The sequence below is a fragment of the Homo sapiens genome, chromosome 5 (assembly GCF_000001405.40).
Source record: "Homo sapiens chromosome 5, GRCh38.p14 Primary Assembly".
Taxonomy (NCBI): Eukaryota; Metazoa; Chordata; class Mammalia; order Primates; family Hominidae; genus Homo; species Homo sapiens.
In genome coordinates, this window is record NC_000005.10 from 21,535,501 (window position 1) to 21,559,460 (window position 23,960).

At 34.1% G+C, this 23,960-nt stretch overlaps 1 long non-coding RNA gene and 1 pseudogene across 2 annotated transcripts in view; both read left to right on the plus strand.

Annotated features, from left to right (window-relative positions):
• The window catches only part of GUSBP1 (GUSB pseudogene 1), a 129,860-nt pseudogene that overhangs the window by 75,988 nt on the left and 29,912 nt on the right, over positions 1–23,960 (plus strand). The gene's annotated exons all lie outside the window — the stretch shown is intronic.
• Positions 9,219–21,654, plus strand: LOC124900949 (uncharacterized). The gene is made up of 2 exons (XR_007058709.1): positions 9,219–9,323; positions 11,208–21,654. It is a non-coding gene; the product is annotated as an uncharacterized LOC124900949 (long non-coding RNA).

Consider the following 23,960-nt stretch of genomic DNA (forward strand, 5'->3'; position numbering starts at 1 on the left):
CAAGAAATGCTAATGGGACTTTTTCAAGGTGAAAAAAAATGGATGATAATTAGTAACATGAAAGTACAATACTCACTAGTAAGTACAACAAAAGACATACAGTGACTGAATGGATGTATAAAAATAAAAAAAAAAAAGACCCAAATATATACTGCTTACAAAAGTCTCACTTTACCCATAAGGAACACATAGACTGGAAATGAAGGGATGGAAAAAGATATTTCATGCAAATGGAAGCCAAAATATTGTAGGGGAAGTTATTTATATCTGACAATGTAGACTTTAGATCAAAAACTGTAAAGAAACAAGGAAAATAATTATGTAAAAATAAAGGGGTTAATTCATGAACAGGATATAACAAATGTAAATATATATGCACCCAATATTGGAGCAGCTAAATATATAAAACAAATATTAACAGATACAATGGGAGAGAGAAGTGAAATACAATTATAGTAGGAATTTTCGTACGCATTTTAAAGAGCGATAGATCATCCAGACAGAAAATCAATAAGAAAATAGTGGACTCAAATTACACTTTAGAACAAATAGACCTAACAGACATATACACAACATTCTATCCAACAGCAGTAGAATACACATTCTTCTCAAGTATAATGGAATATTCTCCAGGATAGATTGAATATTAGACTACAAAATCAGTCAACAAATTTAAGAAGATTGAAATCATATCAAGTATTTTTTCTGACACAGAGGTATGAAAGTAGAAATAAACAAAAGGATATAATTTTATAAAATTTACAAATATGTGGAAATTAAACTATAAACTCCTGAACAACCAGTAGGTCAAAGAAGAAAGTAAAAGAAAAATTTTAAAGTATCTTGAGGTCAACAAAAAAGGAAATGAACATACTGAAACATAGGATGCAGCAAAAGCCATTCTAAAGGGGAGGTTTATAACAATAAGCTGGCTGCAGTGGCTCACACCTGTAATCCCATTACTTTGGGAAGCCATGACAGGCAGATAGCCTGAGGTCAGGAGTTCAAGACCAGCCTTGCCAACATGACAAAACACCATCTCTACTAAAAATACAAAAATTAGCCGGGCACGGTGGTGAGCACCTGTAGTCCCAGCTACTGGGGAGGCTGAGGCAGGAGAATCGCTTGAACCTCAGAGGCGGAGGTTGCAGTAAGCTGAGATTGCGCCTCTGTACTCCAGCCTGGGTGGCCAAGTGAGACTCCATCTCAAAATAAATAAATAAATACATACCCAATAAATTAAATGCTTACATTAAAAAAGTAGAGAGCTCTCAAATAACCTGATGGTACAATTCAAGAAACTAGAAAAGGAAGAACAAAGTAAACCCAGAGTTAGTAGAAGGAAAAAAATAACAATTATCAGTGCAAAAGTAAGTGAAACACAGACTGGAAAGATAATAAAATTAAAAGTTTATTTTTTGAAAAAATAAACAATACTGAAAAACCCTTAGCTAGACTACTAAGAAATAAAAAGAGAAGACCCAAAGAAATAAAATCAGAAATCAAAAAGATGACACTACAATTGATACCACAGAAATATAAAGAACCATAAAAGTCTTGTATGAACCATTATATACCAACAAATTGGATAATATAGAAGAAAGGCATAAAGTTGTAGAAAGATATAACTTACCAAGACTGAATCATTAAGAAATAAAAAAGATGAACAGAGCAATAACAAGTAACTAGGCTAAGTCAGCAATAAAAATCTTCCATCAAAGTAAATTCTAGGACCCTGATGCCTTCATTACTGAATTCTATGAAACAATTAAGAATTAATATCAGTCCTTCTCAAACTCATCCAAAAAATTGAATAGGAGGGAACACTTTCTAACTCATCTTGTGAGACCAGAATTTCCCTAATATGAAAGCCAGACAAGGACATTGCAAGAAAAAAATCAACTATTACAGGCCAATCAATATCCCTGATGAACATAGTTCTAAAACTTGCCCACAAAATACTAACAAACTGAATTCAAAAACACGTTAAAACATCTTTCAACATCAAGTAGGATTTATCACTAGAATGCAAGGATGTTCCCATTTATGTAAATCAGTAAATGTGATACATCACATTAAGAGAACAAAGAACAAAACCAAAATGATCATCTTACTACATGCAGAAAAAGCATTTGACAACATTTAGCGTTTTTTCATGATAAGAAACTCTCAGCAAATTAGGTGTAGAAGTAATCTATCTCAACATAATAAAGGCCGTATATTATAAACCCAAAGTTAACATCACACTCAAAGGTGAAAAGTTGAAATCTTTTTCTAAGATTAGAAACTAGACAAGAGTACTCGCTCACGCCACTTCTATTCAGCGTATTACTGAATGTCCTAGCCAGAGCAATCAAGCAAGAAAAGGAAATAAAGGGCATCCAGGTTGGAAAGGAAGCAGTTAAATTGTCCTTGTTTGCAGATAACATGATCTTATACAGAAAACCCTAAAGACACCACCAAAAAAACTGTTAGAACTAATAAATTCAGTAAAGGTAGAGGATATAAAATTGACATAAAAGTTTCAGTAGTGTTTCTGTACACTAACAACAAACTATCTGAAAAAGATATCAAAAAAGCAATCCCATTTACAGTAGTATTTAAAAAATCTTAGGAAAAAATTTTAACCAAGGAGGTGAAAGATCTATACACTGAAAACTATAAAACACTGATAGAAGAAAATGAAGAAAACACAAATAAATGGAAAGAGATCTCATGTTCATGAGTTGGAAAATTAATATTGTTAAAATGCCATAAATACTCAAAGTAATCTGCAGAGTCAATGTAATCCTTATTAAAATTCAGTTTTTTCACAGAAATAGAAAAAACCTAAATTCTAAAATTGTATGAAACCATAAACACTCTAAATAGGGAAATCACTGTTGAATAAATAGAAAAAAGCTAAAGACATCATACTACCTGATCTCAAAATTTACTACAAAATTATAAAAATGTAAGCAACATTCTACTGACAAAATGCAGTTATATAGACCAATATGAGAGGAGAAGCCTCTTAAATAAATCCACTTATTTATGGTAAGTGGATTTATTTGATAAAGTTACCAAAAATCTACAGTAGGGAAAGGACAGTCCTTTATCTCCACCATTTACAAAAATCAACCCCAAATGGACAAGACTTAAACCTAAGACCTGAAACTATGAAATCACTAATGGAATACAGGAAGACTTCCAGAACATTGGTCTGAGTAATATTTTGGGGGGAGGCATGACCCAAAAATCACAGGTAACAAAAGCAAAAATAGTCCAATGGAATTAAATAAAACTTAAAACTCAAAAGCTCTGTACAGCAAAGGAAACAGCAGAGTGAAGAGACAATCTAGGGAACTGAAGAATGTATTTGCAAATCACACTCTAATAGCAAATAAAACTCCCAAATGCCCTGATTAAAAAATAGGCAAAGAATCAGAATAGATATTTCTCAAAAGAAGACCCACAGATGGCCAACAGATATATAAAAATATATTTAACATCATTATTTATCAGAGAAATGCAAATTAAAACCACAAAGAGATATCACCTCACACCTGTTAGAATGGCTATTATCAAAAAGATGAAAGAAAACAAGTATTGATGTAGAAGTGAAGAAAAGAGAAACCTTGTATACTGTTCTTGGGATTGCAAATTAGTACAGCATTTATGGAAAGCAGTATAAAGCTTCTTCAAGACATTAAAACTGGAACTACAATATGATCCAGAAATCCTACTGCTGAGTATATGTTCAAAGGAAAATAAATCCATTTGCTGAAGAAATATCTTCATTTCCATGTTCATTGCAGCATTATTCACAATAGCCAATTTATAAAATCAACCTGTGTCCATCAACAAATGAATGGAAAAAGAAAATGTGATACACACACACACACACACACACACACACACACACACACTCAATGGAATTAAAAGAGAAAGAAACCTTGTTATTTGCAACAGCATGGAGAAACCTGAAGGACATTATGCTATGTAAATAAGCCAGGAACAGAAAGACATACTGCCTGATCTCACTTACACGTGGAATATAAAAAAGTTGAATTCATACAGGCGGCAGACACAATGGTGCTAAATGATGAAAACACATGGATACAGAAGGGTGGTTGTTGGATCTTGGGGATGGGAGTGGAAATACAGAGATTTTGGTCAAAGGGTAAACATCTTCAGTCAGATAGGAGGAATATGTTCTGGATATCTATGGTATCGCATGGTGAGTAGATTTAATAACAATGCATTGTATTCTTGAAAATTGGTAAATAAGTAGATCTTGAATGTTCTCACAGCAAAAAAAGATAAATATGTAAGGTTATGGTTATGTCCCTTAGCTTGATTTAAATTTGATTTAATCTTTCATATGTATACATATACCAAAGCACCACCAAAAATATATGGATTTTTAGATTTATTAATTGTCTTAATAAAAGAAAAAAACATGGATGTATAAAAAATAAAGAATACCTAAGAGAGTTAAATTCCCAATAAGTACTAGGAGCTGTTATTAGGAAAAGCTTGATACTTGAACTTATAAAATCAGAGATAAAATAACAGAAAGTAAAGATTGAAATTCATCATTGCTCTCTGAGTTCTTAGTATATCAAGACTTCTCATTTACAGCAGCATATTTCTCAAATTTCAATCTGTTAAATTTTGTCACCCTCCATGAAACATTTTACATTAAAGTAATACTAGACCATTTTAAGCAGAAGAGAAATTCCTTTTATGTTGCACCTGAATTGTGCCTATGAAAAAGAAAAAAAAAATTTATAGAAATAAAGATCCTTTGTTTTCAGTGTGTAATATTAGAAAAAGTTGGCTTTTGAGCCAGAGAAGCAGATATGTCTATAATAGACATCATTGTATCCCTAAGCCTTTTGGCCACACACAGTTGCAATCTTTTGAGCAAACAGTAGAAAATTTAGAATAAAGTATTATCACCTGTGTTTATTTCTAACCTACCTTATTCAAAAACAGAATATATTCACTTTTAACAAAAATAGAAGGCTGTCACTTGTAGAATGTGTACTGTTCTGACTGATGAGAACTGTCTCTCACCAGAGGACACTTGCAACTTACTTGAAAGAGTAAAACATTTTTGATAATCTTCTATCACAGTTTATGTCATAATTGAAGACTCAACTTGTAACATAGTCATCCGTGGCCATTGTGTTCATTCTCTGCAATATATTTTCGTTATTTTGCTCTTTTTTATTTTTGGTGTTCAAAATCAAGCTCACTGAAAAATTGCACATATTCGCCACTCCACTTTTTTTCTCCAGACTTTTCTCTTTCTTGGGTTTCCCCCTAATGTTCTGTCTTCTTTGCAGATGTTTCTTTCCGCATTTTAAATGCTGAGATTTCCCAGAGCTAATTTCATCTCTTCATGTCTTCGTGCTACTAAATGTGATCCATATATTGCAGGGGGTACTCACACAGAATTTGCATAAGATAGACCGGAACTTGAAGTTCTGCCATTTACCACTCAACTTTGCAACTTTGGGAAACACACTTTATATCCATGTCCATCTGAGAATTCATCCCTCAAATGGGAAAATAGAGTTTAACATCTGAATCCATTTGGTAGATTAAAAGAAATAATAAATATAAAATAATTAGCACAGCATAGTACCCAGAAAGCAATACTAATGACCACCATAACTCCCAATTCTCTATCCCAAGCTTGACTTCCTACACACACATTTGTCAACTACAACCTGATGTCTCATAGAATCTCTAACTCAGCAAGTTCAGAACTAAATTCATAATAATTCATCTGTTTCTAGCTCTTTCTCCTCCCTTCCTTCTACAGTGATACAGGGTCCTCTCTAAACATTCTGAGTCATGGGTTATTTGAGTGAGTGAGAATATAAGCCAAATTAAAGAAGCAAAAATGCAACACATTCTAGAATCTTTCTCCCTAAAGCTATAGCTAGTCATTACTATAATATTAAAGGTCCTGCCCTCTTAAGATGTTATATATTGAATCATTTTCTATCCCCGTTGTCACTATAGTGTCATAATTCAGGCTTATATTTTACCTGGTCTCAAAAATTACAATACATTCTTATCTATCTAGAGACGCATTCACACATGCACTAAGATAGATTTTTCCAACATATAAATAATTACATTATCTAATTTCACTTATAGCAAAAATTTTACTTATACTTTGGCTTATAGCAAAAATTTCCTGATTTTTTGTATATTATAGCAATATGAAATCTTACCAAATTTGGAAGGAATTTTTATATGTCTTTATCATTTTTACATGATGTTAATTTTAAAGCCAGTATCTTATATGAGCATGTTACAAAATACTATTATATGGCTTCTTAATTCTATATTGTAATACTATTATAATATGTAAAAACATTTAAATTTTTTATTTTAACATTTGATGTATACTATTTAATTTTCTTTAATGTTTTTATGTAAGTAAAAGCAAACTTTTTATACTTAGTATATAAACCAAATGCAAATAAAAATGGAGATTGTATTTCAGATATATGACTTGGAAAAATAGATTATAAAACCCTGCTTTTCAGAACTGAAATTGAAAATTACAACTGTCATTTAAAATCAGTCTGTTTCTTTATTAAAATGCTATGACAAAATATCCAAATAGATAAAGTTTCAGGCCATTCTTCGAAAGCATATTTCCCATAAACCACATCTAAAACTAATTATTTTGAAATGTTAATTATCCCAATAAATGAAAGTTAAGTGGTTTATAATATCATTATATTCCTCCTACAAACGTGTTTTAAGCAATAAGGAAAACAATGTACTATATGAGATTTTTTTCAAAAACAGAATGCACATTTTGAATTTACACAAACTTATACTGAGGAAAGTGTGACAAAATATTTTAAATAATTATTTTAATTTGTCATTCAAGTTTTCATTTTAAGATATATGGATTTAGAATTTATTTTATTTTATTTTTTAGCATTCATCGGTACATTTTATGTATTTTTTTAACCTTTAAGTTCAGGGTTACATGTGCAGGTTTGTTATATAGGTAAACTTGTGTAATGGGGGTTTGTTGTACAGATTATTTCATCACCCAGATATTAAACCTAGTACCCATTAGTTATTTTTCCTGACTCTCTCCCTCCTCCCACCCTTCACTTTCCAACAGACCCCAGCATGTGTTGTTACCCTCTATGTATCCTTGGGTTTTCATTATTTAGCTCCCACTTGTAAGTGAGAACATGCAGTATTTGGTTTTCTCTTCCTACATTAGTTTGCTAAGGATAATGGCCTCCAGCTCCATCCATGTCCCTGCAAAGGATGTGATCTCATTATTTTTTTATGACTGGATAATATTTCATGGTTTATGTGTATCCCATTTTCTTTATCTACTGATCACTGATGGACATTATGTTGATTCCGTGTCTTTGCTATTGTGAATAGGGCTGCAATGAACATACAAGTGCATGTGTCTTTATAATGGAACAATTTATGATGTGATCTCATTATTTTTTTATGACTGGATAGTATTTCATGGTTTATGTGTATCCCATTTACTTTATCTACTGATCACTGATGGGTATTATGTTGATTCTGTGTCTTTGCTATTGTGAATAGGGCTGCAATGAACATACAAGTGCATGTGTCTTTATAATGGAACAATTTATATTCCTTTGGGTACATACCTAGTAATGGGATTGCTGGGTCGAATGGTATTTCTGCCTTTAGGTCTCTGAGGAATTGCCACAGTGTCTTCCACAATGGTTGACCTAAGTTACACTCCCACCAAAAGTGTATAAGCATTCCTTTTTCTCCACAACATCGACAGGATCTGTTATTTTTTGACTTTTTAATAATAGCCATTCTGACTGCTGTGAGATTTGCATTTCTCTAATGATTAGTGATCTTGAGCTTTTTTTTTCATATGACTGTTGGCTTCATGCGTGTCTTCTTTTGAAAATTATCTGTTCATGTCCTTTGTCTACTTTTTAATGGAGTTGTTTGTCTTTTCTTGTAAATTTCTTTAAGTTCCTTATAGATACTGGATATTAGACCTTTGTTAGATGCATAGTTTGCAAAAATTTTCCCCCATTCCGTAAGTTGGCTCTGTTGATTGTTTCTTTTGCTATTCATAACCTCTTCAATCAGATCCCATTTGTCAATTTTTGATTTTGTTGCAATTGCTTTCTGCATTTCATAGAGAAATGTATTATATTTGTCAAATGGGCTATTAGAAATATAGTATTGGACTTCAGGACAATGATTACTGGAGACAAAGTTTTGAGGTTTCTCTGCCAAGAGATACGAAGGGAAGTCACAGGAAAATAAAACAAAGCAATGTACTACATAAAGAAAAAGTAGAAAATGAATGCGATCATTAATTATGTTTTTGTTCTAGCCATGCATTCAACAAATGTTTGCTAAAAGCCTTATTAGGTCTAAGAGAAATAGCCACAAACATGAATAAAACCATACAGTTGATTTAAAATAGTTTTAATTTACCAGCAAAAATTGTATATATTTATGATGTGTGACATGACGTCTTGACATATGTGTATATTATGGCATGGTGAAATTAAGGTATTTAATGTTTATGCAACACCTCACATGCTTATTTATACTTTGAGAAGTAGCAGCAACCTGTCTGAAAATAAATATCTAAATTATAAATAGGAAAATCAACCAGATTATTGTATATATTTATGTAATATTAATACCTTTCCTAAAATGCCCCTATAAAGACATGGGTCCCAGGCACTAAACCAACTATAGACCCATAGAAGACAATCAGTTCTGTTGCCATCTTTGGTACCTTGAAACTGTTTTTTTGATACATGCAGAAACTTCTAAATTGGGTTTTATAGATACTGAATAGCAGTTCTTCATCCATGGGCAACCCACTTATGCATTCTTTGGACTGTATCTGTGGATCTGACTGTTCATAAAAAGCTTTTGGCTTTGTCAGAGCATCAAGTGTTGATTTAATATGAAATTTCACCCACAAAATCTACATAGGAACCAAGGGTTTCAACTTCGTCACACATGTCAGCCAAGTGAGCCTAGAAGGAGCTGTTCACAGAGATTTAGATAGATAATTCCAGTTTTTGAAAGGCCAATGACCAGAACAATATAGTACAATCCATTGGCTCCTGACTAGGGATATGTTTCAATAATTTTAACACTTTAGGATGCGTATACATGCTATGAAAATGATTTTCAATTCTTTGTGCCCCTACAAGGCTGATTCGTCATTTGCAAAGATCTGGGAAGCAATATTAGCAAAGCAATCCATGAGCTTGGCAACATTTCTGAGGATGACTACAAAGTTCCTAGGATATCAAGAGGTAGCAATAATGATCCCTGCCAGTGCTGTACTGGGAGACTAGCCAATATCAAGGGAAGTAATGGCAAGTTGTGGATCCACGCTTTGTCCTATCCTGCGTGTTCCACATCTATTCATATTGAAGTTTTCATTTTCTGGCCACCCCATTCATTCCATTCCATTGTAGCCTTTCTGGCCACTGTGGTATCTCTACTTAAATACCACTTGTAAGTGCACCCATTCCTGACAATTCTCTATTAGTAAGCAATGTATCTTTCTTATTACATCCTAATTCTGTCTCTTGCTTTATTTTTATCTTTGGTGTTCATTATCCTGTGATATGTAATGCATTTACATATGTATTTTTAAAATGTATTGTCTGTCTTCAACTGGAATATAACCTCCTTGAGAATATCTTTTTAATTTTTCATTATTATGATCCTGTTTTCTAGATCAGCACTTGCATTAAGTAAGTGCTTATACTTGTTGAATACATGAGTAAGTGAACACAAAAGTTGGGAGGCATCTTGTTATCTTAAGACCCCACATAGCTCATAACTGAAATGATTTTGACACATTTTATTAATCTTATAAAAAGGCCTGTAATCCCAGCTCTTTGGGAGGCCGAGACGAGAGGATCGCTTGTTCCCAGGAGTTCAAGACTAGCCTGGGCAACATAGGAAGATGCCAGCTCTATAAAAAATTTAAATAATTAGCTGGGTATGGTGGCATGTGCCTTTAGTCCCAGCTACTCAGGAGGCTGAGGTGGGAGGATCGCTTAAGTCTAGGAGGTTGTGGCTTCAGTGAGCCATGATTGCACCACTTCAGACCAGCCTCGGTGATAGAATGAGATAATATCTAAAAATTTTTTTAAAAAATTTTAAAGCAACCATATTAAGAGGCATGATCATACTAGATGTGATAAATGCTGCTCCTAAAAATATATTAGAAAGTTTCTTTCTAAGTATTAGTTTTGGTATTTAGGGGGCTCAAGGATAATAGTTTCTGTCTAGTCTTGAGTATATTTGTCCCTGATAACTGGGACTATACTGTCTGGGAAGCCATGTATATGATTTTCTATGTAATAACACACCCTTTTTTGCAATAAAATCAATAAAGACAGAGCATCACACAATTTTTTCACAATTACTGCTGTTAATACGGCACCAATGTAATGAGCAACTTTAGCATTTGAGTTAGGTTGAGGCCATCTGTTTAAAGCTCATCTTAGTGGATTATGATATCATGCCAGATAATTTAAATATCCAGGTGGCTCGGAAAACACTAAATCAAACTTCTGGCCATAAAAGAGAAAAACAAATTGCTCTTGATATCCAGCATTAGCAGTGACTCGTAAGATCACATAAGCCAAATCAATGGCTGCATACCAATCAGAAATTAAAAATCATCTTTCAATGTAGAAATGTGGTCACAGTTTTCATCTAATTGCTGCAACCTTTTTTAAAATTTATAAATAATTCTATTTATATTCTACAAATAGTTGCCAGAACCCATCTGACTTTTGTACCAGCCAAACTGAGACCATAATTGGGATGATTATTGGCATTGTATATAACCTACCCCTGTGATTTCCATATTAGAATTAAAACATTATATGTCTTCCTTAAAATATTGCATTATAATTTCATGATTATGATTTATAATGAAGTTCCTGAACTGCTTCTTTTTGTCCTTTTAAGAATCCTTTCCCTAGAATTATAAACAACAAATTATCAGTAGGAGTTGAAGGAATGGGGACAGCTTCATTGCCTTAGTTCTTTATTTCTAACCTGGACACTTGATAAAATTCTGTAGCTTCAACTTCTTTCTCCTCAAGATTCTTTATTACTTATATAATCACTACTTTCAAAAGCTCCTCAATTTTTGGTATATTAATGTTTCTTAGGGTCATTTGGACTTGGACATAGAGTTACAGCTTCTGTGAAAATATTTTTATGTGATTGTTCTCGAGGAGTAGACATGAGGATAAATCAAAAGAAGGTACATTTCATTTTTGTTGTTGTTGCTACTGTTCTTGTTCTGTAGGGAGTGTGTGTGTGTGTGTGTGTGTGTGTGTGTGTGTGTGTGGATTGGGGGCCTGGGGATTGTAATTATTCTTGTTTATGTTGTACAGGCAGAGATTGACCTTTGTATTAAGTTCCCTAGGGCTGCTGTAACCAAGTACTACAAACTAGGTGGCTTAAAAAAAATTTTATTGTCTAGCAGTTCAGGATACTAGAGGTCCAAAATCAAAGTATCTGCAGGGCCATGCTCACATTGAAACATAAGGGAATCTTTTCCTGGCTCTACCTGGCTTCTGGTAGTTGGCTGGCACTATTTGACATTCCACAGTTTGTAGAGTCATCACTCCAATCCTCAGTCTTCACAGAGCCTGTGTCTCTGCCTTCTTTAAAGACACCAGGCTTCTAGGATTAGGACACTAGCCTACTTCAACATGACCTCATTCTAATTTAACTCATTGCATCTGCAAAGATCTTATTTCCAATATGTTCACATTTTGAGGTACTTAGGGTTATGACTAGAACATATCTTGTTCTTAGGGACACAATTAAATACATAGCAACCTCTTTTATTTTCTTCCCTTTGGCGTCTTGCTTTAGGAGAACTAATCGCCAGTGTGGCTGTTGTGGTGCATGCAGGCTACTCCACTATAGCTGCTGTTGTAAGCAGAAGTGATCACATGTGCCAATCAAGACCTGATGCCTGGAGTTCCTAAACTAATGACTCCTGAGCAGACACTTGTCTCCATCTAGACTATGTGACTGTCACGCTAGCTGAGCAAATTCTTCATTACCCAATTCCTGTGAACTTTCTCAGCTTTAGCTTTGCCTTCTTTAAAAGGTGCCAGGAAGGTGTATTTAAGAAAACAAATCTATTTCAATTTCAGTGAGATGTGAATCATCTTGGGCATTTAATAAGCGAATCAAGGTGATGGATATAGCATAGGGATTTCTTTCATTAACCTTCTAAAATAGTAAAGGTTTTCCATAGGCACAGCACTATTACATTTACAAATTGGGACATTATGTTCTTGCTGTTTCACTACTCATTATAACCAGCCTTGGGCACTTAATCTCTTAATGAGCTGTATTGCCATTGTGGGAGCATCCTTACTGAGGTCTTCCAAAGCCCCTAATTCAACCCTATTCAGTTTATCTGTGTATCTTGTTTAATTTTATAACCAGCAGATTAGCATGCCACCTGCCATGCCTACAGGAAACCGGCAATATATTTTAACTAATTATTGGTGTACCAGGTGAGTAACAGAAATTATTGTAGGATTCTGGGTGTTTACATAAACTTTTACACATTTCCTGCCTAAGACAGATATTTCTTGAAGAAGAAAGAAAGAAGGGTGAGGGTCTGGTCTGTGAGAAGGCTGGTTGTCTCGTTCCTGCCTACTCAAGTCTCTGAGAATAGTAATACCCACGTTTACCTATGATTTCCAGGTTACTGTTTGAATCATTTGTTTCTGTTTTACAAAACAATCCAGTATAATAACTTACTATTAATTATGATTCTTTGAGTTACCCAGGGTCAGTTTTGAAGTTCTGCTGGTCTCACTTGGAGTCTTTGACATAATTCCACTAGATTGAAAGACTGTTTGGGAGATGGTTTTTCACTCTCTGTCTCTCTCCATATAGTCTTTAATTGTTCAATAGTCTAGCCTGGCTTCCAAACGGCATGTCTTCTGGGTTCCATAACAGTGCACTCTTCTGTCACATTTTGTCTGTCAAATCCGGACATAATTTCTTCCAAAATAAAGGATAATATAAATAAACTCATCTGTTACCTGAGGAAGGGCATGAGTGTACCAGGATGGAAGGAATTGTTGGCTGCCATATTTAGAGACTACTTACCTCAGTATCAAATACCTGCTATCCCATATTGTTACTGATTGTAGTTCTTCCTTTCAATAAATTATGATGTTCTACTCTATCAAAAAAGGTCCTATCAGCAGAGCAAAACCATAAAATAGTTTGCACAGGCAGAATTTTGTATTTAAAATAATTAACTCTAACAGAGGATTGGAGTAATAAGGGATTGTCTAGGTAAAAAAAAAACCTTAAAAACTAGAACTAGCAGATAAGAAACATCTTATATCCTTAGAATTGAGTTAAGGTGCCCAATAAAAAGGCATCTGCCTCCCCGACCCAGTGAAGCAGAATACGATGACAGCTTCAAAGGAAAGAAGTATTCTATTTTTAATCACTTACACTGGGGCAGACATTATGGACAGTGATGCTGTATAATTATAATACATTTTCCTTATTCAAGTCACTGAGATTTTTTTGCTATTAAAAATAAAAACATCAAAGTATCAAATATGATTATTCAGGTCAGAACAAATATATCGTAAGAATGTCACCAAGAATAATAAATTTTCATTCACTCTACTTTATTGAAACATGTACAAATTATCTCTCCAGGGTTGAATTGTCTAGAGATATTTGCAGCATCTTGTATCAGAAAAAAGAGTGACAAGTTTCATTCCATTTTTCGTAGAAGGAAGGATTATCACAGAGCCAATGCCACAAGGCCCTTTGGTTCAGAGACAGCATTTTCCAATCATGTTCTCAACAAGTCTCGAACATGTTAATTAATGTTTGTCTTGAAGAGTTCTTAAATAAAAACTAGTGGATAGCTTTCTCACATAAATTTAAAAGATTTTTAAGATAGCATCTTCAACAAATCCAAAACTATAAAATGTCTTTTGAGTCATACCTTTTGCTTCAAAATACTCCTAATAAAGCACATAAATTGACAAACTCCATTGTTAGTAGAAAGTTTTATGGCTTCAGATCACAATTAATATTTTAACATTCATATTTTCACCCAAAGGACATTTAGTCATCATGTTTGACACTAACAATTTTATCTTTCTTCTGCTGGTAGTTGTATGACTCATTAAAACAAAGTATATAAAATAATCGCATCTATACTGATGACTTAAATGGGCACCAAAATAAGTGAGTTTAAAAAATTCTATCTTATGAGAAAAACATAAAATAGTTCTTACGTAATATGTAAGAAATAATAATTTCTTACTGAATTCATAGTGAAAAGTACTGCTGGAATACGTCATCACAAATAGCATTCTCCATTACTAAAATATAGATGCAATAATAATTAGTAACTATGATCGTAACAAACTACTTGAAAAACATGTGGCTTGAAAATGTCAAAAAAGATACAAATGCAACTGAGCAGTATAGGAAAAGAGTACTCTTAAAACTCAGCAGATTGTGGTGGGTATGTGGCAACGTTTTGAAGATGATGTAGTTGTCATTCTGGTTATCTGAGAAAACAGAGATTATCATATCCAAAGAATAAATACAAATGAAAAGGTTTAATATTGCATTTGGAATTGTTTTTATTTTTCAAAATTGATGATAGAATAAAATATTTTTATAAAATATAAATCTGCAAATGTTTTTACCTGGGACAATGAGCCTTGACAGAATAACATCTAGAACAGCTAACCCACAATAACTTATGTAAAATTGTCGAAATGTTATATTGAGTAAAATTAATAGAAGAGTCAAGTATTATATTTTAATTTTCAATATCCTGGTGGAAATAATTATGTGCAAAATATCAACGAAATAGGGAAAGTAAATAAGAATGTTTTAAATATATATATACACCCAAAATGGAAAACCGACTTAACAGATTTTGCTTTAAAAATACATTTTCTATGAAGATTCATCAATTCTACAGAAAGTGATAGACCTCTAATAGAAATATTTGGTTTTAAACACTGCATGTTCTCACTCATAGGTGGGAATTGAACACTGAGAACACTTGGACACAGGGCAGGGAACATCACACTCAGGGCCTGTTGGGGGATGGGGGGCAAGGGGAGGAATAGCATTAGGAGAAATACCGAATGTAAATGATGAGTTAATGAGTGCAGCAAACCAACATGGCACATGTATACCTATGTACCAAACTTGCACTTTGTGCACATGTACCCTAGAACTTAAAGTATAATAAAAAAAAATATTTGGTTTCATAAGGAAAGCATCAAAATAATCAAAAGAAATTATTAAAATATTCTTGCATGGCAGTGCTAGTCCAATGGAGTTGAAGTGGCAAAGTCTACATTTCCTGAGTACAGCTAGAAAGACACTGTTCAGGGAACAGTTAGATTGTAACCAGCTAAAGAGAAACCAGGATGTTAAATTTGGCTATTCTAGCAAAGAAGCATTCAGGAAAATAAAGAAGCAATTATCCGTGAGCTGAGTTCCAGGCTTTTTTTTGCACAGTTTTTGTATTCGCATAATGAATGAACAGCATTGTCACGAGCATTTTTAAGTGCCTTAGGATGGGACTGTCATCCAGCCATTAAATCCTGCAAATTCAGTTCTGAGGGGAATAAAAAAGAAATACAGGAACATAGAGTGAGAGTTGTATTTTGTATTTCCTTTGTCCCTTTTGCACAGTTTCAGAATGCATTGACAAATCAGTTTCTGTAGCAATGGGATTCAGATTCTGGATTTTTTTTTAAAAAGAACATAAGCTTCTGAGGCTAGAAGTAGAGAATGACCTCCAGTGGCTGGTGTCAAAAGAAGAGAACAGCCAATAAATTATATTTGTCCTAGATCTGACAACCCATGTAGAATTACATTGGTACAGAACTAACCAGTACCCTGTTGATGTCGAAGATGTTTCTTATTCCCCAAATATGTGAACCTAATTATGACTGTATTATAATCTAGCAGATCTCACTAAGTATATTCCAATGGCTATATGCAGTCTTAGAATTGAACACACAGAGCACACCATTGTGTTGCCGATGGCATAAAAACTTGAAGAAACTCCAAGATGACCAGAACTCAGAAGTCTGCAGTCATAGTAAGTGAAATGACAAAAAAAAAGTAGAGAACAGTTAGATTTCTTGGGTAAAGGCTGAACAATCTACTGATGCAAGAAACAGAGGAGGAGTTTCCTCTTAGGACTTGAGAAGATTCATTGATAGAAAAAGGACTCTGTAAAAATGAGCAGATAGTGTTTGATATAAGGCAATGATTTGACTGTATGATGGGTGCCTTGATCAGGTTTGGAGGTAATAATTTGCATGGCAACCTAATATATACCGTCAGGTAAAACCTCCTGAAAATTACATGAATGATACCAGATAGCACATGTGTCCTATTTTGATACATACCCTGGTCCTGCTGAGATTGTGCCTTTGCTATGAAGCAAGGCCTCTTTGAGGCACATTATTGTACTTAGACAAGGCCCTGCATTCTAGAGAAAGAGACAAGCTGGGAAAAAAGATTTTGTACACGCTCAAAGAATGAATGTCCATTTGAGAGTATAAACTAGTTGCCATGTCTGCCAATTGCCAACCACCACCATATCCTTAGAAACCATGCTATTACCATGTTTCAGTGTACACCAAAAGAAATCTAGAGTAGGAACTGGCTTCCTCCCTCACTTGTGCATTTGTCCGTTGCACATTCTATCAAGTAGGTTTAATAGTGCTTTAGTAACTTACAGAGAAATTGTGGCAAAACTCTCCTGTTATTTTTGTTAATCAAAATTTGTAGCTTCCCCTCTAAGAGAGTCACGCATGAGTCCATGGGCCATGAATAGTAACAGATTTTGAGTTATAAGCATAATGCTGAACTAAAAATGATTCATCAGCTGTAGAACTCACCCATTTTGTGTAGAGAAAGTTTGCTTTGTTCAAAGTATTGCTTTAGGGAAAGTTCTTAACAAGAACACGCCTTGCTTTTCCACAAGAAACATTTCTTGATGGGTCTGTTACACAAATTATTCAGATATGCAAGTTTTGTTTTGCTTTGTTTTTAAAAAATATAGTTCAAAATTATTGCTAGGGCTAAACCCTTGTTCCACATTTTTTATCTCATGCATTTTTAAAAGCTATTTTAAATTTCTGCCTCCAATCTTGTTTTATTTTATTTTTTCAACTGGGTAATTGTCTTTGCAGTTTATGTTTTCTTTCAGATATTCTCACAGGGAAACTTCATCATTTCTCTATTAGGGTATTTTCAGTCACATTATGTATTTCTTTTTCTATCATAATTTGCAGTACTATCACTGGATTAATTTTTTAAATCACCTTTCGACAAGTATAATTTCCATGCAAGTTTGACAAAGTTCAATTTGTTTTTTTCTTTTATTTTTCACATTTGTAATAATTGTGTAAGAAATCTTTGCCTATTCAAAACTCACAAAAATAATTTTTAGACATTTTACAGCTTAACACTTAATTCACAGATATTTTTCTGAATTAATTTAAGTAATGTCGTATGTGTCATGACTTTAAACTTTTCTTTTCTTCCATGTCCACTTGTCCCAGCAACATTTGTTGAAAAGATTTTATTTTCCCCCATTGAATTGACTTGACACCTTTTTTGAAAGTCAGCTCAACAAATATCCATGGCCCGATTTCTGGAATCTCTATGCTGTTTCATTTATTTTTATGTCTGCCCTCACAGCAATACCACCCATTACTTGTAACTTTATACTAAGGCTTGCAGTCACACGGCAAAAGACCTTCAAATCTGTTCTTCCTGTGCAAGCATTTTGGCGCTCCTAGGTTCTTTGAATGTCTACATACATTTTAGAATCAGCTTGACAATCTACAAAAAAAGCCTCCCAGGACTCTGATCCAAACTTCATTTAATTTATAGATTTGTGACATCTTACAATGAGTCTTACAGTCAATGAATATGATACATCACTCCATCTCATGTTTTCTTTCACTTTTCTCAGATATGTATCACAGTTTTCAGTTTAGAGCTTTTACAAATATTACATTAAATGTGTCTCCAAGTATTTTCTGTATTGGATGCTACTGTAAATTGTAATTTACTCTGTATTTTAATTGTAATTGTAGGACATGGAAAGACAGATTTTTGTATGATGGCCACGTTTCCTATGAACCCACTACATTCTTTTTTTTTTTTTTCTTTTTTTTTTTTTTGGAGTCTCATTCTGTCACCCAGGCTGGAGTGCAGTGGTGAGATCTCGGCTTACTGCAAGATCCGCCTCTCAGGTTCACGCCATTCTCCTGTCTCAGCTTCCCGAGTAGCTGGGACTACAGGCGCCCGCCACAACACCTGGCTAATTTTTTTTTTCTTGTATTTTTAGGAGAGACGGGGTTTCACCGTTTTAGCCAGGATGGTCTCGATCTCCTGACCTCATGATCCGCCCGCCTCAGCCTCCCAAAGTCCTAGGATTACAGGCGTGAGCCACCGCACCTGGCCTGAACCCACTATGTTCTTTAAATATTAATAACATTTTTTGTAGATTCCTTATAATTTCCTACAAAGTCAATAATGTCAAATGCAAATAGTGTTTTGCAGCTTTACTCTTAATTTACATATTTTTCCCTTGCTCTAATGCACATGCTAGAATCTCTAGTATAATGGTGAAATACAGCCATAGATGTTCCAATATTAAACCAGTATTTCTTATTTCAATTAGCTAATATTTTGCTAAAGCTTTTCTGGTTCTACAATTTTGCATCTATGTATGTATCAATTTTTACATCTGTGTTTTCTAATTTTTCTGATTTTGGTATTATGGTAATCATAATTAAATAAGTGAAATATTGTGGAATCAGGAGGACCAGAAAGAGACCTTGGGGTGTATACAGGAGGATATCTTTATTGAGTGCAGTCAGACCCAGCAAACTCAACATCCAAAGACTGGGTCCAGAACAAAGACAGCATTTGACTTTCATACACACTTCACAAAGGGGTGGACTACCTTGAAGCAGGCTTTCAGTTACAGTGGCGCGAAAGCAAGGATACAGAGTCAGAACAATTAATTAAATTGTGACAGGTTCATAACTCCGGATTACACATGACCATTGCCAAGCAACCCATTTGTCTGTTATCCAGGTTTTGCTCTAAAGAGTCTTGCACTGGTTTATCGCATAACTTCACTATGGTGCCCAGACAGCTGTAGTTCAGGCCTGCTCAGGCTTCTCATGACCTTCACTGTACTTCTTAGATAAAACAGAATACTTGAAGTTACCAGTTACAGAAAACAAGAATCTATAAACTAATACCATAAAGCAAAGGAAAATTTGTTTTTTGTCTCCATGTGTTGAAGGAGTGCTGGGAGAGTCTCCAGAGCACATTCCTTTGTGTCCTAGCTTCTTAGATAGTGTTTACCAAGCCTTTTCCTGGGTCTGGGCTGTGCCTGTTGCTGCCTCTGGGACCAGTCAGCCTAATACAGGAAAGCTTATTTCTTTCTCTTTTTAATTTTATTTTTCCTTATTTCTTTAATTTCCCACCTCAAAACATTTCCTACTCTATTTCATCAACTAAGATTTATATGATTCATCCATTAAATATTTATTTGAATTTCTAATTTTGGTATTATGGTAATCATAATTAAGTAAACATTTCCTACTGTACTTTATCAACTAAGAGTTATATGCTTCATTCATTAAATATTTAATAAAATTTACCAGTACATTTACATAAGGCTGTTTATTTTTTTTTCTTTCTTTGTATAAAGGATTTTAATCATCAGTTATATATCTTTACCAGAAATAGGACTACTTAGCTTTTCAGTTACTTTTTAAACTAGTTTGGATAACTTGTGTTTTTCAAGCTATTTGCCACTTTTCTTTAAGTTTCCAGACTTGGTAGCATAAAGTTGTTAAGATAATATTCTCTTAGCCATTGTGTGTTACAAATATAGTGCAACCTACTCTTTCATTGCTTTTGTTTGAGCAATCTAGTTTTAAAAATTGTTTTTAATAATTTATTTAAAATAACATTTGTTTGTTTACTTTATCATTAGTTTGTTTTTTCCTTCAGAGATGTCTTTTCTATTTATTTATCCATTTTTTACTTTTACTTAATAATCAAGCTCCTCTTTCCCTAGCTTCTTTTGGTGGGAGCTGAAATCATTAATTTTTTAATTCTTTTTTCTTCTTTTTTAATATAAGCATTTGCAGTTGTAATTTTTCATCAAGTCACTCCTTTACTTTTACTTCACAAAACAAGAATCAGAACCATACCTAGGTACAACACAACTGTTAGGATCATCATTCAGAGAAATTAAAATAATTGTGATTACTATATTAAGGGCTCTTAACAGAAAAAAAAATAGGGGTGTGTAATATAAACAGAGAAATGAAAAAAGAAAAAAAAACTAAGAAAAAAACAAAAGAAAATGCTAAGGGAGAAAAAAGAATAGGCCCATTGATGGGTTTATTAATCAACTTCCATGACTGAAGAAACAATGAGTGAGCTGTAGGTAAGCCCATAGAAAATTTCCAAACTGAAATGAGAAGAGAAAAAAAGATGAAAAAAAAAAAACAAAAACAAAAGAGAACATTAAAGAGCTGTAAGACAGTTTCAAGAAATATATCACACTTTGAATTGGCTTAATAGAAGAAAAAGAAGAAAAATTTAGCAAAAAAATTAACATTTGCAGTAATCATCGCTAAGATTCACAATATGAGAGACCTCTACTTCATCACAAGCTTTCAACATTGACAGAATAGTTCTAGATAAGCAGAGGAGCAAGTTGCCTAAGTGGACGTGGATATATGATGATGTCTTAACAAGGCAACTAGTTCCCTCAAAGGGCAAGTCCAGCTTCTCCTCATATTTGGTGGATAATTAACAAATTCCAGTATTTTAAAAAATAATCATTATCATGGTGACTAGCTTCACTCGATTATCTAGCGTTATCGAATCTCTATCATCTATCATCGCCAACAGGCATGGCTCAGTTTAGCCAACCAAGTACTCTACTTCCAAGATTTTGACTTGTGATTAATCCAATTATCTCCTCTGCTATAAGGAGAAAAGATTATATTGGATAGTTTTGTTTCCTGCAGCAAAGTAATTTTCTGCATGACCAGCAATAATGCAATGTGGGAGATTTTAATAAGAAGCAATTATTTTTAAATTTAAAACTTAAACAGAATGCAGATTGCAATAATATAGCAGAGATGTGCACAAAATTGTGAGTCACTTTAAAAACTGTTAACCCTGCAATGTATTCTTGTATGGAACAGTGCAGTAAAATAAACATAACTGAAGCAGAAATATTTCTGTCTCCTAGAAACGCATATATAATATTAAAACTGACAAATAATACCCCCTTTGTATGGCATTCCGTAATTTAATGTGTTACCTTGTTTTCATCATTGAAATTAATAGTTTTTTTTTTTTTTTTACTGAAATAAAGAAACATTTATGAAAAGAACACATGATAACATATTTTTTTTTGGTCCAAGAGAAAAAGTTAGCATCTGATGTTGGAAAATGATCAATGATAAGAAATGAGATTTTGCAAAATAAAGTCATTGAATATGTTATGGAAAATACAGCCTCTGTCCCTCATTATCATGGTGTGCAAACTGAGGAGTTAAACAATTGAGATCTCTGTGATCTAGTACCCCCATCTCGCCTGTTATTTCCAACTCTGAAGACAGAAATCTATCACCAGATGGATGCAGTATATCTATATCTACATCTATATCTATATCTATATCTATATCTATCAATATTATCTGTATCTATGTCTCTATCTAATCTATCATTTTTTGGTAGCTACTTAATCCTCTATTGAAATTAGATTTCATATTGAGACAGGATTGTTCCCCTGACCTCCCTTCATGGGCGGGAAGTGGAGTGGCCTGTTACCCTTAGCCTGCTGCTGGCCACTCCTTGCAAGAGGGAGTGTGCGAGCAAGCAAGTGCAGGAACCAGAAGAAAGGAACACTGGAATCAGCTAGCTGCTTCTCTCTGGTAGGAGCAGGCTCTATGCGTTCCACAGCAGCATCCAATCCCCTGCCCTCTTGGCACCCATTTCTTGTTCGGGGTCCAGAAAGAATCAGGTCACTAATTGAAGGGTAGTGTATGCAGAGGATTTTACTGGGCAATGGATGTGGTTCTCAGTGGAATGGGGAGTTGGAAAGGGGATGGTGCGGGAAGAAAGTGATCTTTCCCTGAAGCCGCACCCTCTGAAGTTAGCTCCGTCTGTCTGTAGTCTGAGATGCTCAGCCGCTTGTATCCTCAACACTCAGCAGCCTGCATCCCCAACCTGTTGCACCAGCTGCTTCTATTGCTTGGCCAGCTGAAGTCTTTTTATACTCACAAGATAGGGGGCGGGGCAGGCCAAAAGGGCAATCATTTGGGCCGAAAAATGGGGTCAGCTGTTTTCACTTAGAGCCGAGGTTCTAGGTTAGAGGGTGGAGTTGAGCTGAGAGTCCAGCCATTCTGTGACAATATTTGATAATACTGAAGGTGAGATTATGAAAACAGAACAGAAGAGCACCTAGAAAGAGTTGAGAGGGAGGTAGAACACAGCAAGTTTTTGGTCTGAGAGCGGACCTTATCTGGTTACAGGTGAACTCTTTCCAGTAACTCCGTTGGTTGTTTAGTTTATTCCTTTCTGTTCTATCCCAAAATTTCTTCCTTACTTCTATTGTTTTCAAAGAGTACTTCAAAGGAGTTAAAATAAATAAAAGTAATTTTTTTAAAAATGCTTCATTTTTAACCTGGAAATATACGCACTACATCCATTTCAAAAGTTCCTTAGATGATTTTAGAATTGAATGATACCTTAGTTATAAGATGTTAACACTTACTGAATTATTATAAAGTGGTAGGGCTTCTGCTGAGTATTTTATGTAAGTGACCAGAGTGGCCTTTATATATTTTATATTTCATATAAAATAAATCCCAACCAATCTATCTGCAATTGCTACATTCCAGTTAGGTGAGACTTCAAATTTTCTTACCCAGCCCTTTTTTCCCATAGCCCTTGCTGACATTTCTGATCATTTTATTTAAAACTAAAAATGTCTAATGAATCAATAAAGATTTATGTTAATATTAAGAGAATACCACTGATCACATAAATTGGTAAAGACTTCACTACCAATTTTAATTTTTTAGTCCCTATTAGTATTTATTTAGGAAGAAATACAAGTTTTGAAGGATCATGGTTTCTAAACACAATGGTCATATTTGTTTCCTACCTCACTTTTATGATCATTAAAATTATCAGAGTTACCATGAGTTCTACTGACAGCAGACTCACTAGAATGTTGCTTGTAAGTTAACTTCACATTTATAAACTATTGAGTTCTAGTCCAGATTATACCAGCACAACTACAGCAGCCATCTATCTTCTTCCTTCCCTGATAGAATTATTTTATGCCATAAAACAATAAAAGAAAATGAAAATCTGTGTCTCACCTCAACACAGAGTTTTAGAATTTAACTTTTTACATTATCAATGAGCTTTGCATTTTGTGGATAATTTTTTCAAGGAAGCTTTGTTTCTCACCAGTTTGACAAAAGAGTTTTATGCAAAGCAGATGTGGATAAGGAAGAGGAAGGAGATAAAGTTGAAGATGAACAGGAAAAAGAAGACAGAGGAAAGAAGGAAGACGGGAGTGAAGGAGGAGGAGAAGGCCTGGCATAGAAGCACTGTCATTCCTGGCCCCAGGGCCTGAAGCTCATGACTAATCTAGAGAAAGGTGGAGCCTCAAAGTTGAAAAACTGTGCTTATGTAGGCTATGTGACACTTGTTATGTGCAGCTTATTTCAATAGACTGTAGTATGTTCGATGTTGATAGGTGCTATGGAGTAAATTTTTCTTTTAAATTGGCATGTGAAGAG